The sequence below is a fragment of the Homo sapiens genome, chromosome 8 (genome assembly GCF_000001405.40).
Source record: "Homo sapiens chromosome 8, GRCh38.p14 Primary Assembly".
Taxonomy (NCBI): Eukaryota; Metazoa; Chordata; class Mammalia; order Primates; family Hominidae; genus Homo; species Homo sapiens.
In genome coordinates, this window is record NC_000008.11 from 53,646,519 (window position 1) to 53,659,666 (window position 13,148).

The 13,148-nt window shown below is 42.2% G+C and overlaps 4 annotated features.

Moving 5' to 3' along the window:
- Positions 11,133-11,252: a silencer, noted in NCBI's record as "silent region_19192". NCBI's record gives its function as "represses an Ori minimal core promoter by ATAC-STARR-seq in GM12878 lymphoblastoid cells {active_cell/tissue: GM12878}" and the evidence as "EXISTENCE:reporter gene assay evidence [ECO:0000049][PMID:35858748]".
- Positions 11,278-12,082: an enhancer, noted in NCBI's record as "NANOG-H3K27ac-H3K4me1 hESC enhancer chr8:54570356-54571160 (GRCh37/hg19 assembly coordinates)". NCBI's record gives its function as "activates a minimal SCP1, AML or CMV promoter by ChIP-STARR-seq in naive H9 embryonic stem cells {active_cell/tissue: H9 hESC(naive)}" and the evidence as "EXISTENCE:reporter gene assay evidence [ECO:0000049][PMID:30033119]".
- Positions 11,553-11,632: an enhancer, noted in NCBI's record as "active region_27357". NCBI's record gives its function as "activates an Ori minimal core promoter by ATAC-STARR-seq in GM12878 lymphoblastoid cells {active_cell/tissue: GM12878}" and the evidence as "EXISTENCE:reporter gene assay evidence [ECO:0000049][PMID:35858748]".
- Positions 12,083-12,887: an enhancer, noted in NCBI's record as "H3K27ac-H3K4me1 hESC enhancer chr8:54571161-54571965 (GRCh37/hg19 assembly coordinates)". NCBI's record gives its function as "activates a minimal SCP1, AML or CMV promoter by ChIP-STARR-seq in naive H9 embryonic stem cells {active_cell/tissue: H9 hESC(naive)}" and the evidence as "EXISTENCE:reporter gene assay evidence [ECO:0000049][PMID:30033119]".

Consider the following 13,148-nt stretch of genomic DNA (forward strand, 5'->3'; position numbering starts at 1 on the left):
TGTGAAGGAAAATTTGGTTTCTTTATGAAATGACCTTCAAAAGAAAACCAGCTTTTAGGCTGTTGATGGGAAAGATGAGGTTTGGTAACTAGATAATTCACAGTTTACAGAAAATTGAAGCTTTAAATAAACTAAAAAATAGGATTTTGGCATTGACCATGACTTATGGTTCTCCCCTAAACATAGTCACCACATACTCTAGAAAGACAAGAAAATAGAATTATTGAACTGGATGAAGAAATCCTCAAGCCAAGGAAAAACCTGCTTATCAAATGAAAGATTAAAACATCAGAGAAACTTGAAAAGGTCATCAGTTGGTGATGTAAGGGAACATGTGACTCCCAACCAAAGTGTGATTCTGACAAAAGTCAACCATTTGTTATGAAATGTGGGATGGACAAGTGTTCCAGTGCATTATAATCAGAGCTATACAACAGACATAGTGCTATGGGCTTCACTTGGATTTGCCCACATAAGCCTCCCAACAGACATGGGGCAAATATTACTGTCATCATCATCATCATCGTCATCATCATCATCATCATCATCATTTCTGATAAGGGATCTGAGGCTCAGAGAAATTAAGTCAATTTCCTAAGATCACTAAGCTAATCAATGGTAGAGCCTAGATTTAAACTCAGCCAGTCTACACTCTGACCACCACATTGTACAATCTCTCAAAGTATCTCTGGAGAATGTCTATTGCAGCCAGCTTTCTGGCTCATTTTGTGTGTTTGTTTGTCTCATTAAATGTAATTGTGTAATGACTACTATCTAAGTCAACTTTGGTGTCAACTATTTAAGTTTTGATCCCAAGTTATCTGAAGTTTATGCAACACTTCTCAAGGTATGCAAAAATGACACTTCACAACTGTGAATGCATCTTGACACTCTGAAATCAAAGATGTCTGCCATCATAGGTATGTCCTTATACAGATATGTGTAGCTACGCCTCCACTACATGGATAGATAGGTAGAAAGGTAGGAAAGTAGGTGTAGGTAGATAAGTAACCTCCCAACATTATTTTTAAAACTCCATCCAGGTTAGAATGTGACCTTTATCTATGGAAAAACTTTATCTTTGTCCTGAGAGGGACCATTTTTATAAGCAATTTTGCCTATACAGGTATAAACTTGTCTCTAACTTTGTTTTGTTTTGTTTTTTGGAGAGGGGATCTCACTCTGTCATCCAGACTGGAGCACAGTGGCATGATGACGGCTTACTGCAGCCTCGACTTCCCAAGCCCAAGTGATCCTCTTGTCTCAACCTCCTAGGTAGCTGGGACTACAGGCTCACTCCACCACACCTGGCTACTTTTTAATTTTTTGTAGATATGGGGTCTCATTATGTTACCCAGGCTAGTCTCAAACTCCTAAGCTCCAAAAATCCTCCTGCCTTTACCTCCCAAAATGCTGGGATTACAGGCGTGAGCCACCATGGCTGGCCTTGTCTTGAACTTTGGTGAAATTATCCAAATGCAGATGCTTCTATATTCACTTCATTATGATTAAATACAGGAAAAGTTCCCTCTATTATGGGTGGAATGTGTCTCTATAGGGATAATTATGAGGTAAGGGATTTGTGGTTCTCAAATTTGGGGTTCCCACTAACAGGCTTGCAATCATAAAATTTGGGGTCCTAGTGTTCTGTGGAGAGGAAAGACATGAATCAGGAGCCACACAGCCCATCCCTGCCACCCCCTAACTGCCCTGTCCCCCAGGAGATGCAAGTCAGTAACATAACAGGAAGATAGTGAGGAAAAGGGGAACTTGGTAGGCAAAGACTCTGCAGGGTGCAGGCAATGCCTATGAGGCTAGCGAGGTGTAAGCTGTTTCCTGTTCTGGATTCTAATTCTGCTCTCACCTCCTGGCCTCCACACCAGCTTTGTGTTCATTTGCTCTGTTTTGTGAGGTATGGGGATAGAGTTGTTTCAACATTTGAGTTGAGGATGAAATTCACAATACCAAGCAAAGTCAGTGACATTGTGCATGGCCAGAGATGGCAAATAGCAGAAGCCACTCGAAGCAAGAGGAAACAAGCAAAAACCAGGGTTGGTGGGGGTAGGGGGGAGGCAGACTAAGAAGAAACCAGGATCTTCAGAGGCACCCTTAGGGTCTCAAACTCTAAGACAAGATCTCACTCTGTTGCCCAGACTGGAGTGCAGTGGCTGTATTGTACCTCACTGCAGCCTTGAACTCCTGGGCTCAAGGGATCCTCCTGCCTCAACCTCTTGAGCAGCTGGGACCACAGGCACCCACCACCATTCCCTGGCTTATTTTTTTATTTTTAATTTTTTGTGGAGACGGAGTCTCCCTATGTCGACCAGGCTGGTCTCAAACTCCTGGCCTCAAGGGATCCTCCCACCTTAGCCTCCTGAGTAGCTGGGATTACAGGCATGAGCCACCATGCCTGGCTAATCTTTCTAATTTGTTTTATAGAGACAGGGTCTCATTATGTTGCCCAGGCTGGAGAGACACTCTTTGGTAAAGGGACTGATTCGCCACAAATCATGGAAGATAAAGGCTCATTATTTTGATTAGATATTCAAGAGGAAGGTGACTCCCAAGGGCTGGAGAGTTCAAGGACAGAGACTCTAAGGTACATGTAAAGGATGAGTTTTTAGGGAGAAAGCTAATAATTGTAGTAATTAAAAGTTGACAACCAACTCTTGAGAATAAAAATGGTAAGACTTAACATATTTTCAGATGTGCAAATGGGAAATGAGCTTTTTAGAATTAAATTTTCTCTAAAGCAATGATACTATACCAAAACTCACTGCAAGAACAAAATTCCCCTAAGTTATTGCTTTATTAAAGTTCAGTGTATACCCCTGAGGAAATCTACAATGGGATTATGGCTAAAATACCCATTTAGCCCTCATTTTCATTTCACATTAATGAGTAAGGCTATGAGATATATACTGTATAACTTGAAAAGATTTTGACTAGTCATTCTCAATTGTTTTAGTAACATGTCAAGACACTATATGCAAATAAGAAATTGATTGACTTTTTGTCTAATCTCCTCTTAACCCAGAATCACCCAAGGCCTTTGACTTGGAGAGGATGAGTTAAATAGTGGGTAATTCACCCAATGTCCTTTTAAAGTGGGAAGCACAGTGGTTTCTAAAGCACAAAAAAGGGGGGGCAGAGGGAGAAAAGAAAAACAGAGGAAACTGCATTTTCAGAGGGCAACATGTATACCGCATTGTTACTATGCAATCTTTAGGAAAGCTTTACATGTGATAGATCTTCATTTGGAAAGGTCTTTGAAATGAGGACATGAAAAGCTATTGAAGAGTCAGTGATTTCAGATTTCAAATTTAAGAAGACAGCTACACAGTTTTTCACATTTTCTGCTGAACACTTCACATCGTCTCCAAGACTCCTGGTATCCTTGTTTCTCTGGTTTGACCCCTGCCCTGTTTAAGGCACTCGTAGTCAAGAAAGCTTTGCCCAAGCTCTGGCTTAAAATTTCTCTCCAAACTGAGCTCCTCAGAGCACCAAGTCCTCTTCCTCCATGTCAATATTCCCTAATATCCCACTTCCTCAATGTGGCAGCCAAGATTGGAGACAGACCAGGAGCAGGGGCTGCCCCCAGACAACATCGTGTAGCAAGGGTGTCTAAATGGCTTCCATTTGCCACCTCCTGCTCTACCCCAGGACATATGCACTGATTGTGAATTAGTATCCATAATGACTTCACTTCAGCTCCTACTTACTTGCTGAGAGCTCTCAGTAGGACTGTCTGCACCCACTGTGAGCTACCAGAGGTCTTTATATGGCTTTTTGCATAAGAGGGCTTAAGGTAGCTTTAACATGATTCCTTTTAACACTTAGATACTGAAAAACAAATAGGGATAGATATCACCTACAAGGTCATCCTCATGAGTGTACTTTGAGGTTTTTAAACCTATTATTCCTTTAATAAACAAATATTTTACGCACACTTCCTCTCACCTCCCCTGGTTAGAAATCACTGTATATTATTGGAATACTATAGTCTTGAAAACTAAAAGGCAACCTAAAAGCATCCAAATGACTTATCCACCACCATTCATGTCTTGGCTGCCTGCCTCCCACCGTCTCTTGGAATGCTGGTTTCCACTCTGCTTCCTGTTAGCCTCTCCAGAGGAATGGGGAAGAAAGCTGCTTACATAGTAAAGTTAAGGCAAAGGGCAGCCCATGTGGAAGACCCCTTTCCTTCACACTGTGCTCTCCATATCCAGTGTGGAGCGGCTTCACAGACTTAATTGGCAATGTTCACTGTATCTTCTGAGTGGCCACGAAAAACAATGTTATACCATATGTATGAATAAATGCTACCAAAGGAAGCATTTACATTTTATCTATACTGAGCAAGTTAGGGAGAAGGAAAAAGATCGATGGATTTGGAATGAGAGAACAGACCCTTTCATCTTAAAAAGAGGTCTTAGTGGCTTATAATATCAAAATATAGAACTAATTTTTACACAAAAAATGTCCATGAACAAACAATTTAAACCTCTCAAAAAGCTAAGAAAGACTTCCTGTTTCCTTAAACAGAAAGGATTTTTGAATCCATTATAATGGGTGCATTTCAAAACCCAATAAGCAATTAGATGGCACTATTTTCTAGGTGAGCATTTTCCAGTACAAACATAATACAAACCACATGTATAATGAAATTTTCCAGTAGCCACATTTTAAAAAGCAAAAAGAAGCAGGTAAAATTATTTTTAATAATTTAAGTAATCAATATAACCAAAACATCATTTCAATATGTAATCAATATACAAAGTATTAGTAAGACATTTTGCTTTTCTCATACTAAACCTTGAAATTGTTACATATTTTACATTTGCAGCACATCTCAATGTGACCTTAATGGACCAGCCAAGGTCCCAGTACCCAGTAGCCACATGCAGCCAGAGGCTACCTATTAGACAGTACAATTTTAGGTGATTAAAACAGTAAGATAATATAGACTTCATAAAAATGCTCAATTCTTAGCTACAACTGTTAGCTACCTTAATTACACAAATATGTTGCTTTTGTTTAAAACAGACAGAAATAATGTTTCCTGAAATGGCCATTTTCCAAACTATAATATGCATTTGCATTGAGAATATTCAGCCTATCAGATTAATAAATGTGTAGTTTGTCAAACATAAGCATAACTTTTTAAGATGTTTTAAAGGGATAAGAAACTGGAAAGCAAAAATATTGTTGAACATAAACAGAACTCATAAGATGTGTTAAGCACAAGATTAGCAGTTAATCAGTAGACCATGTGTGCTAAACATAGACAGAAGGAAGGATAAAAATATATCTAATAATCATGAGGCACCACTTGGGTACTAAATAGTCATAATGTAAAAAGTGTAGAAGAGACACTAGGTATTTGGGATATGCTAAAGATACACGAGTACTTAATATTCATGAGTCTTCATTTGGCCACCCACGAATGACACCCATTCGGGTCTCAGGTGATCTGACATTGAGTGCCCCAAGATTCAGAGAGGAATCTTTCCCTCTTACTGCACCTCAACCAAGTGTGTTAACTGGCCCTTCTCTTCTCCTTTGCTCTCACTGTGTGATTTCAATTAAGTTAAAAATATGATTCGAGCATTTTAATTGGGTCCATGAGCCCATCTGTTCTGTGTGTAGAACAGAACAACCTGCCTCGGGTAGTGTACCTGAGTGATTTTCCACATACCACAAGCTATGCTTACTCAGCCACCAAGGGATGGGAACGAACACCACCACTTCTGATGTCTGCTACACACAGACCCCAACTTAAAATGGTCTGACTTTACAGTGGTGCAAAAGCGATACACATTAAGTAGAGTACCCATACAACCATTCTATTTTTCACTTTCAATACAGCATTCGATAAATTACATCAGCTATTTAACACTTTATCATGAAATAGGCTTTACATTAGATGATTTTGCCCAGTGTGAGCTAATGTAAGTGTTCTGAGCACATAAGGTAGGCTAGGATAAGCTATGATGTTCAGTAGGTTAGGTGTGTTAAGTGTATTTTCGACCTATGATAATGTAGGATGGATTTATTGTGATGTAACTTAACCATAAGTTGAGGAGCATCTGTACTAAGGGAGTAAGAAAACAGCTGAAATGAATTTGAAATTATGGTATCACTGCCACTTTTTCAAGGAATAAATCAGTCTTCTTCCTGAAGTACTCTATAGCAGATAAAATACTGTTGGCATTAAATAAGTCAGAAAGATTTATAACAATTTGAAAGCCTACATACAAATAAATCCCAGCCAAAATTCCATAAGAAATCAATGACAGCATTTTTTTTTTTTTTTTTTTTGAGACGGAGTTTCCCTCTTTCACCCAGGCTGGAGTGCAATGGCGTGATCTTGCCTCACTGCAACCTCCGCCTCCTGGGTTCAAGCGATTCTCCTGCCTCAGCCTCCCAAGTAGCTAGGATTACAGGTGCCCACCACCAAACCCAGCTAATTTTTGTATTTTTAGTAGAGATGGGGTTTCACCATGTTGCCAGGCTGGTCTCGAACTCCTGACCTCAAGTGATCCACCGGCCTCAGCCTCCCAAAGTGCTGGGATCACAGGCATAAACCACCATACCTGGCCCAGTGACAGCCTTATATAAAAAATAAATGTTGTGTCTTCTCGTATTTTCCCTTTTTCTTCCTAAACCCCTGCCTGGTTGAATGTGTGTGGTGCCTGAGTCCATGAGGGTGGTGTAGTGTTGGCTTACCTTCCCAGCAAGCTGTGGGACCCTGAATGAGATTCTTACCCCTCCCACGCCTCAGTTCTCAGGTGTGAAACTATAGTAACTACTTCATAAGATTGTTGTAAAGATTAAGTAATAGAAAGTTCTGGTATTTTAGTAAGCTCGTTCATCTATAAGAGCACAATTTAAAAATTAACATGTTATCTCCATTTATTGAGGTTTTCTTTAATGTATGTCAATAAGGTTTAAATTTTTATCATAAATAAGCAATTAATGAATCAACACTAAATGTATTCTTCAGTATACCAGTTAGAACAGCACAAATTTAAGAAGAGATATGTGGCCAGGTACGGTGGCTCACACCTGTAATCCCAGCACTTTGGGAGGCCAACGGGGGCAGATCACTTGAGGTCAGGAGTTTGAGATGAGCCTGGCCAACGTGGTGAAACCCCGTCTCTACCAAAAATATAAAAAAATTAGCCAGGTGGTGGTATGTGCCTGTAATCCCAGCCACTCGGGAGGCTGAGGCAGGAGAATCACTTGAACTTGGGAGGCAGAAGTTGTAGTGAGCCAAGATTTCGCTATTGTACTCCAGCCTGGGTGACAGAACAAGACTCCGTCTCAAAACAAATAATAATAATGAATTTTTTAAAAAAGAAGAGATATGTGGCTGTACCAAGTTTAGGGAAGACAAAGAAACCAGAATTCATACACTGGTGGTTTAAGTATAAATTGGTACATTCATTTTGGAAAACAATTTGGCAGTATTTTGGAAGTTAAACATAAACACAACCTACAATTCAGCAGTTCCATTTCTAAGTTTGTACCCTAGAGTAATGGTTGTCAAAGTGTGTTCTACAAAACTCTGGGGGTCCCTAGAGATATTTTTTGAGAGGTCTACCAGGTCAAAACTATTTTCATGATAATACTAGTACATTATTTGCTTTTTACATTGTGCTGACATTTGCACTGATGGTGCAAAAGCCATGGTGGGTAAAACTGCTGGTGCTTAGCGTGACCCAAGGCCATGGCACCAAACCACACTAGCAGTCATGTGACCACCACCACCAAGCATTTGCAGCTAAAAAATAAACACCCAGTTTCACTTAACCATTTCACCCCAGTGAAATTGAAACTGAATTGATTTTACAAAATCTAGGGCCTGATTACATGTCTTTTTAATATTCTGTGTGACTAAATAGGAAGTACAGGGCACCTGTGTGTGCACAGTGATTATATTGAGGAAAATTCTCTGAGCAACTCTTTGAGCTGTGAACTGAACTAGGTTTTTTTTTTTAAACTAACTGTTTTTTCATTTTTTCATTTTAATCGAAAGAATGACTGGCATCTTTTTAAAAACCACCCAGCGAGCTCATCCCTTTAAAAAAAAAAATGGTGGCCAGGCACAGTGGCTCATGCCTGAAATCCCAGCACTTTGGGAGGAGGCTGAGACAGGCGGATCACCTGAGATCAAGAGTTCGAGATCAGCCTGATCAACATGGTGAAACCCCATCTCTATTAAAAACACAAAAATTAGCTGGGCATGGTGGCGTGCACCTGTAATGCCAGCTACTCAGGAGTCTGAGGCAGAAGAATTGCTTGAACCTGGGAAGCAGAGGTTGCAGTGAGCTGAGATCATGCCATTACACTCCAGCCTGGGCGAGAAGAGCAAAACACTGTCTAAAAACAAAAACAAACAAACAAACAAAAAAACCTGTCATATTTGTTGTAAATAATTAAAAATTTTGAGCTTTTTTTTTTTCTGTTTACCAACATGCAGAATTTGAGCTTTCAAGCAAAAATTAGAATTTTAGAAAACTTGCAACTGCTACTATGAAGGCTTCAAAATTCCCAAAGACTTAAAAGAGTTCTCTAATGAGATTGGAGGTGATGTTAATTGATGTAATATATTTTTGTATTGCTAAGGAAATGTGTCAACATTTACAAGACCCACATAACTCAGTGAGCTATTATTTTTCAAATGACCAATGCATGAAAATCATGCTTGAGTATGAGATCCACTCAAAGAGCTACGGATTTTAATGTAACAGAATGCAAAACATTTATTGAAATGTTTCAGATTCTTCATTAGAATGAACCTTTAGGAAACTATCTCTTATCTAGTTTTGATGTAGTTTCAAAGAATATCCACAATTCTCTAAAAAGGTTATTAAGATGTTTCTCTCTTTCCAACTATATATCTGCATGAAGCTGGATTTTCTTCATATATGTCAGCCAAAACAACCAATTGCAGCAGACCCAATGCAGAAGTGGATATGAGAATCTGGCCATCTTCTATTAAGACAGACATTCAAAAGATTTGCTAAAATATAAAACAATAGCACTCTTCTCATTTTTTGTTTTGAGAAATATCTCTTCATTAAAATGTTATTTCTGATCACATGCAATTATTGTTTGTAATGAATTAATGAATATTTTAACAATCATTCACTGTTAGTTTTCCATACAGCAAGTGTTGACAGACGTAACCCACATAAACAAAAGTCCTTTTGTCAATAATTTTAAAGAGCATCAAAGAGTCCTGGGAGGCCAGGCGTGGCAGCTCATACCTATAATCTCAGCAGTTTGCTAGGCCTAGGCAGGCAGATCACTTGACCCCCGGAGCTTGAGACAAGCCTGGGCAACATGGTGATAACCTGTCTTTACAAAAAATAAAAAAATTAGCCAGGCATGGTGGCAGCTATAGTCCCAGCTACTCAGGAGGCTTAGGTGGGAGAATCCCTTGAGCCACAGAGGTGAAGGTTGCAGAGTGCCGAGATCGAGCCGCTGCACTCCAGCCTGGATGCAGAGCAAGACTCTGTCTTAATAATAATAATAATAATAATAATAATAATAATAATAATAAGGTCCTGAGAACAAAAAGTTTAAGAACTGCTGCCCTCTGCACAGGAGTTCTGCAAGTTTGGCCAGACCTACACTGGTTGGAGGAACAAGAAAATAGAGCTAAACCCAATAACTACCAATAGGAGAACAGATGAGTAAATGCTGGCATACTCATTCCATAGATGAGGTTAAAAAAAGGAAGGAACTCAGGTATACTCATCAACATGGATAGACTTTTGGAAAATAATATTGATATTTTGGAAAACAGGTTGCAGAAAAATACTTAGTGTGATTCTATTTATATAAAATTTAAAGGTATGTAAAATTGAATAATATATTAATTAATAACAGACCTGAAGTAAACCATAAAGAAAAGCAAAGCCCAGGCACGGTGGCTCACGCCTGTAATCCTAACACTTTGGGAGGCCGAGGCGGGTGGATCACGAGGTCAGGAGATGGAGACCATCCTGGCTAACACAGCGAAACCCCATGTCTACTAAAAATACAAAAGAATGAGCTGGGCGTGGTGGCACGCTCCTGTAGTCCCAGCTACTCGGGACGCTGACGCAGAAGAATCGCTTGAACCCAAGAGGCAGAGGTTGCAGTGAGCTGAGATGGCGCCACTGCACTCCAGCCTGGCAACAGACAGTGGTTACTGGAAAGATGGGGGAGGGGCAGGGATTACAGAGGGGCCAGAGAGCCTGGGAGGGCCTAACATGAGCTTTTCCTTAAACAGGTGGGGATGGAGGGAAGTGTCCAGGTGTTCATTTGGTGATGATGAGGACTACAGTATTATTTATATCTTTATATATGCAAATGTGTTTTAGTAGGTATTCAATATTTGATAAACAAAAATGTTTAAGGTTCAAAAGCAAAGAGAGACACAGAGAGACACAGACCTCATGCTGGTGAAGGGATTGTGTTGGCTCCTAGCACTTTGGCTACATCATTAGCAAGGCAGAAAACACTAGTGTCTTCTGCTTGGCTCCCTTGTCAGCAGACATCCTGGCCTCTTGTTTTGCTGACCAAGTGAGAGGGGTCGGGTCGTGCTCCATAAATGAGGTTGAACCCGCGAAGAGGAAACGCAAACCCATCTGACTGATTACCCCGCACGCTGTCCGCAAGCGCCTGTGGGGGCTCCTGCCCTCGGTCGGCTCTGTGCGTTTGAGAAAACAAATATTAGAACAGTCGTAAACACTATCGGTCTCTTCCGACAGAGAAGGCGATCCCATGGGTGCTGCAGAAGGAGGGGCAGAGCCAAGGTGCGCCCTACAGACCGCCCTGCCGCGTCGGAGACGCGCGCAGTGAGGATAGACTGAGGCAGGCTCAGCCTCGGGGGTCCGCCACGGCTGCGGCAGTTTGTGCAGAATCCGAAATAAAACGGTTGCCTTGCAGCTTTCATTTGTGTTAAGGCCACAACAGTTTCTGGGCTGAAAACCTTTTCCACAAACTCATCAAAGGACCCTTCCCCGTACATCCTACCAGGCAAATTTTCGGGACTTCTGGGCTCGGGGCCACACCAGCAAGGCGCTTGCCGTCATCCCTCTCTCTCTCATCAAGGCAGGAGCAAGGAAAGGAGACCCTCAGAGAAGACGAGGCCAAAGGCTGATCTGGGAAGGCTAGGGTAGCCCCCAACTGCCTAGGCGGCAGCACAGCCGCTGGGGACGCAGCTCCCACCCGGCCTCCCCTCCGCAGAGCTGGGACCGTCCCCCCACCCCCCATCCTTGCTCTGTGGGCGCCGCCTGCACTCTCTGAAGCGCGAGGCTCTGCACGGTGTGGGGCTGGGGCCTTTCGCTCCCCTTGGCTGGCTCTCTCCTCCTTTGTCATTTGCCTTTGTTTGCTGTGTGTGTCTGGTTCAAAGGGCACGCCTACCGAGCTGGATAGAGTAAAGGAAGAATCAGAAAGAGAAAGCGCTCAGCGCGTGTTGCTTAGCAGCACAGACTCAAAACAGGACAAAGCAATTAGAGAAAATTATCACGGGCGGAAGGGGCGGATCGGTCCCCTGAGATTTTCAGATCATCCAGACAGATTACCCATTGGAAATGGCCTAGAGACACACAGAAAGGGGAGGGAATAAAACGGCTGCTGGAAACACAGCCCTGGATTCTGGGGCTGTATGAAAAAAGAACATAGATTTATCTCCCGGTGAAACTCAGATTTTCCGCCCAGAACGCTCACATTTCTTCTGCGCTGGAAGTGCCAGCTGGTATTGATGATGTTGTCTGTTTGGTTATACTTCAATCCAAAAACTGGCGGGGACATTAGGCACTAATGGATGGGATGTATTTAAAACATCTACAACTTATGATGTGCTCAGCTCTATCCTAAGGCCATATCTCACACATTCCTAAAACAGCCTACCAGTTAGGTACTCTTTGTTATCACCATTTTACGGAAACAGAAACAGTGGCACAGAGAGGTCAAGTTGCTTGTCTAAGGCCTCAGAGCTGGTGAGCGAGGGGCAGAGCCAGGACTTGTGCCCATGCCCTCTGTCTCCCTAGCCCAGCCTCTGACCGCACCACAGAGTGTGGTGATGCAGGTGAGGGGGAGGGCAAGAAGATGGTCCTCTCTCGGCAAATGCTGGCCACCTGCAGGGCTGTGAGTCACAGGACTTTAGGGATATTAAGCTGTCTGAAGAGGCCCAGGATCTCAGGGCTTATTTTGTGCATGCTCCTGAGGGTTTCTGAGTGGGTACAGTGAGGAATCCCTCACACAAAGCAAGTGAAGCACATCTAGCTGAGCCTCCCTCCCTTGGCTACCCAGAAAGACCCTGGTCCTGAGCGTGCAGAATGTTTTGCATTCCAGCTGCTGTGACCTGGGAAGGACCGCTGGCCCCATCCTGGCCTTTTGAGCACAGCCATCCCACTCACCCAGATCCCACAGCAGCCTCCAGGGCCCATGCCCCACCCCAGGTGTCCCCTTTCTCCTCCCTAATTCTCAGTCTCTTGGCCTCAAAAGCTGAATTTCCTGGACATGTTTCCCTGACACTTTAAAGACCCATTTAGATACCATTTCCTGGCTTTATGATTTCTGTTATCCCCTATGCCCACTCCCCTGCAAAGACACACACACCAGCTTTACCTAATCCCTTGATTATTGTGGCACCTTGTCCACATCCCAGCCCTCCCCACCACTGCCCTGTGGTCATCTGTGCTCACTAAAGGAGTGAATGAGACAACCTCAAAGATACCAGAGATGCCCCATAAACACTCTACAGCACTGAGGATGGGTGTGGTGGGCTGTATTTTATTTTGTTGTTAGAAATTATTTCATGTGCTGACTCATAATTTGTCTCTGTGAGTTGTTTGCTTATGAAGTAGAGCATTAGCTAAGAATCTCAAGCCAGAACAAGTGATTCGGCCAAGAACCTGCCATCTTTACCTCCGCCTTCGTCTGTCCTCATGTCTTTCACAGGAAAATCTGACGGGAACAGGAACATGACTCAGCCAGACCATTTCTTACATTGGTTTGCCCCAGTTTTCTATCTGTGCTGCTCACAATTTTTCTTCCTCTACTGTAAAGATTGACTTAACAATTCAAATGATGTTTATCTTCAATGTACCTTGGAAAATTTTAAGAAAGTGCTGCTTTCCACTCAG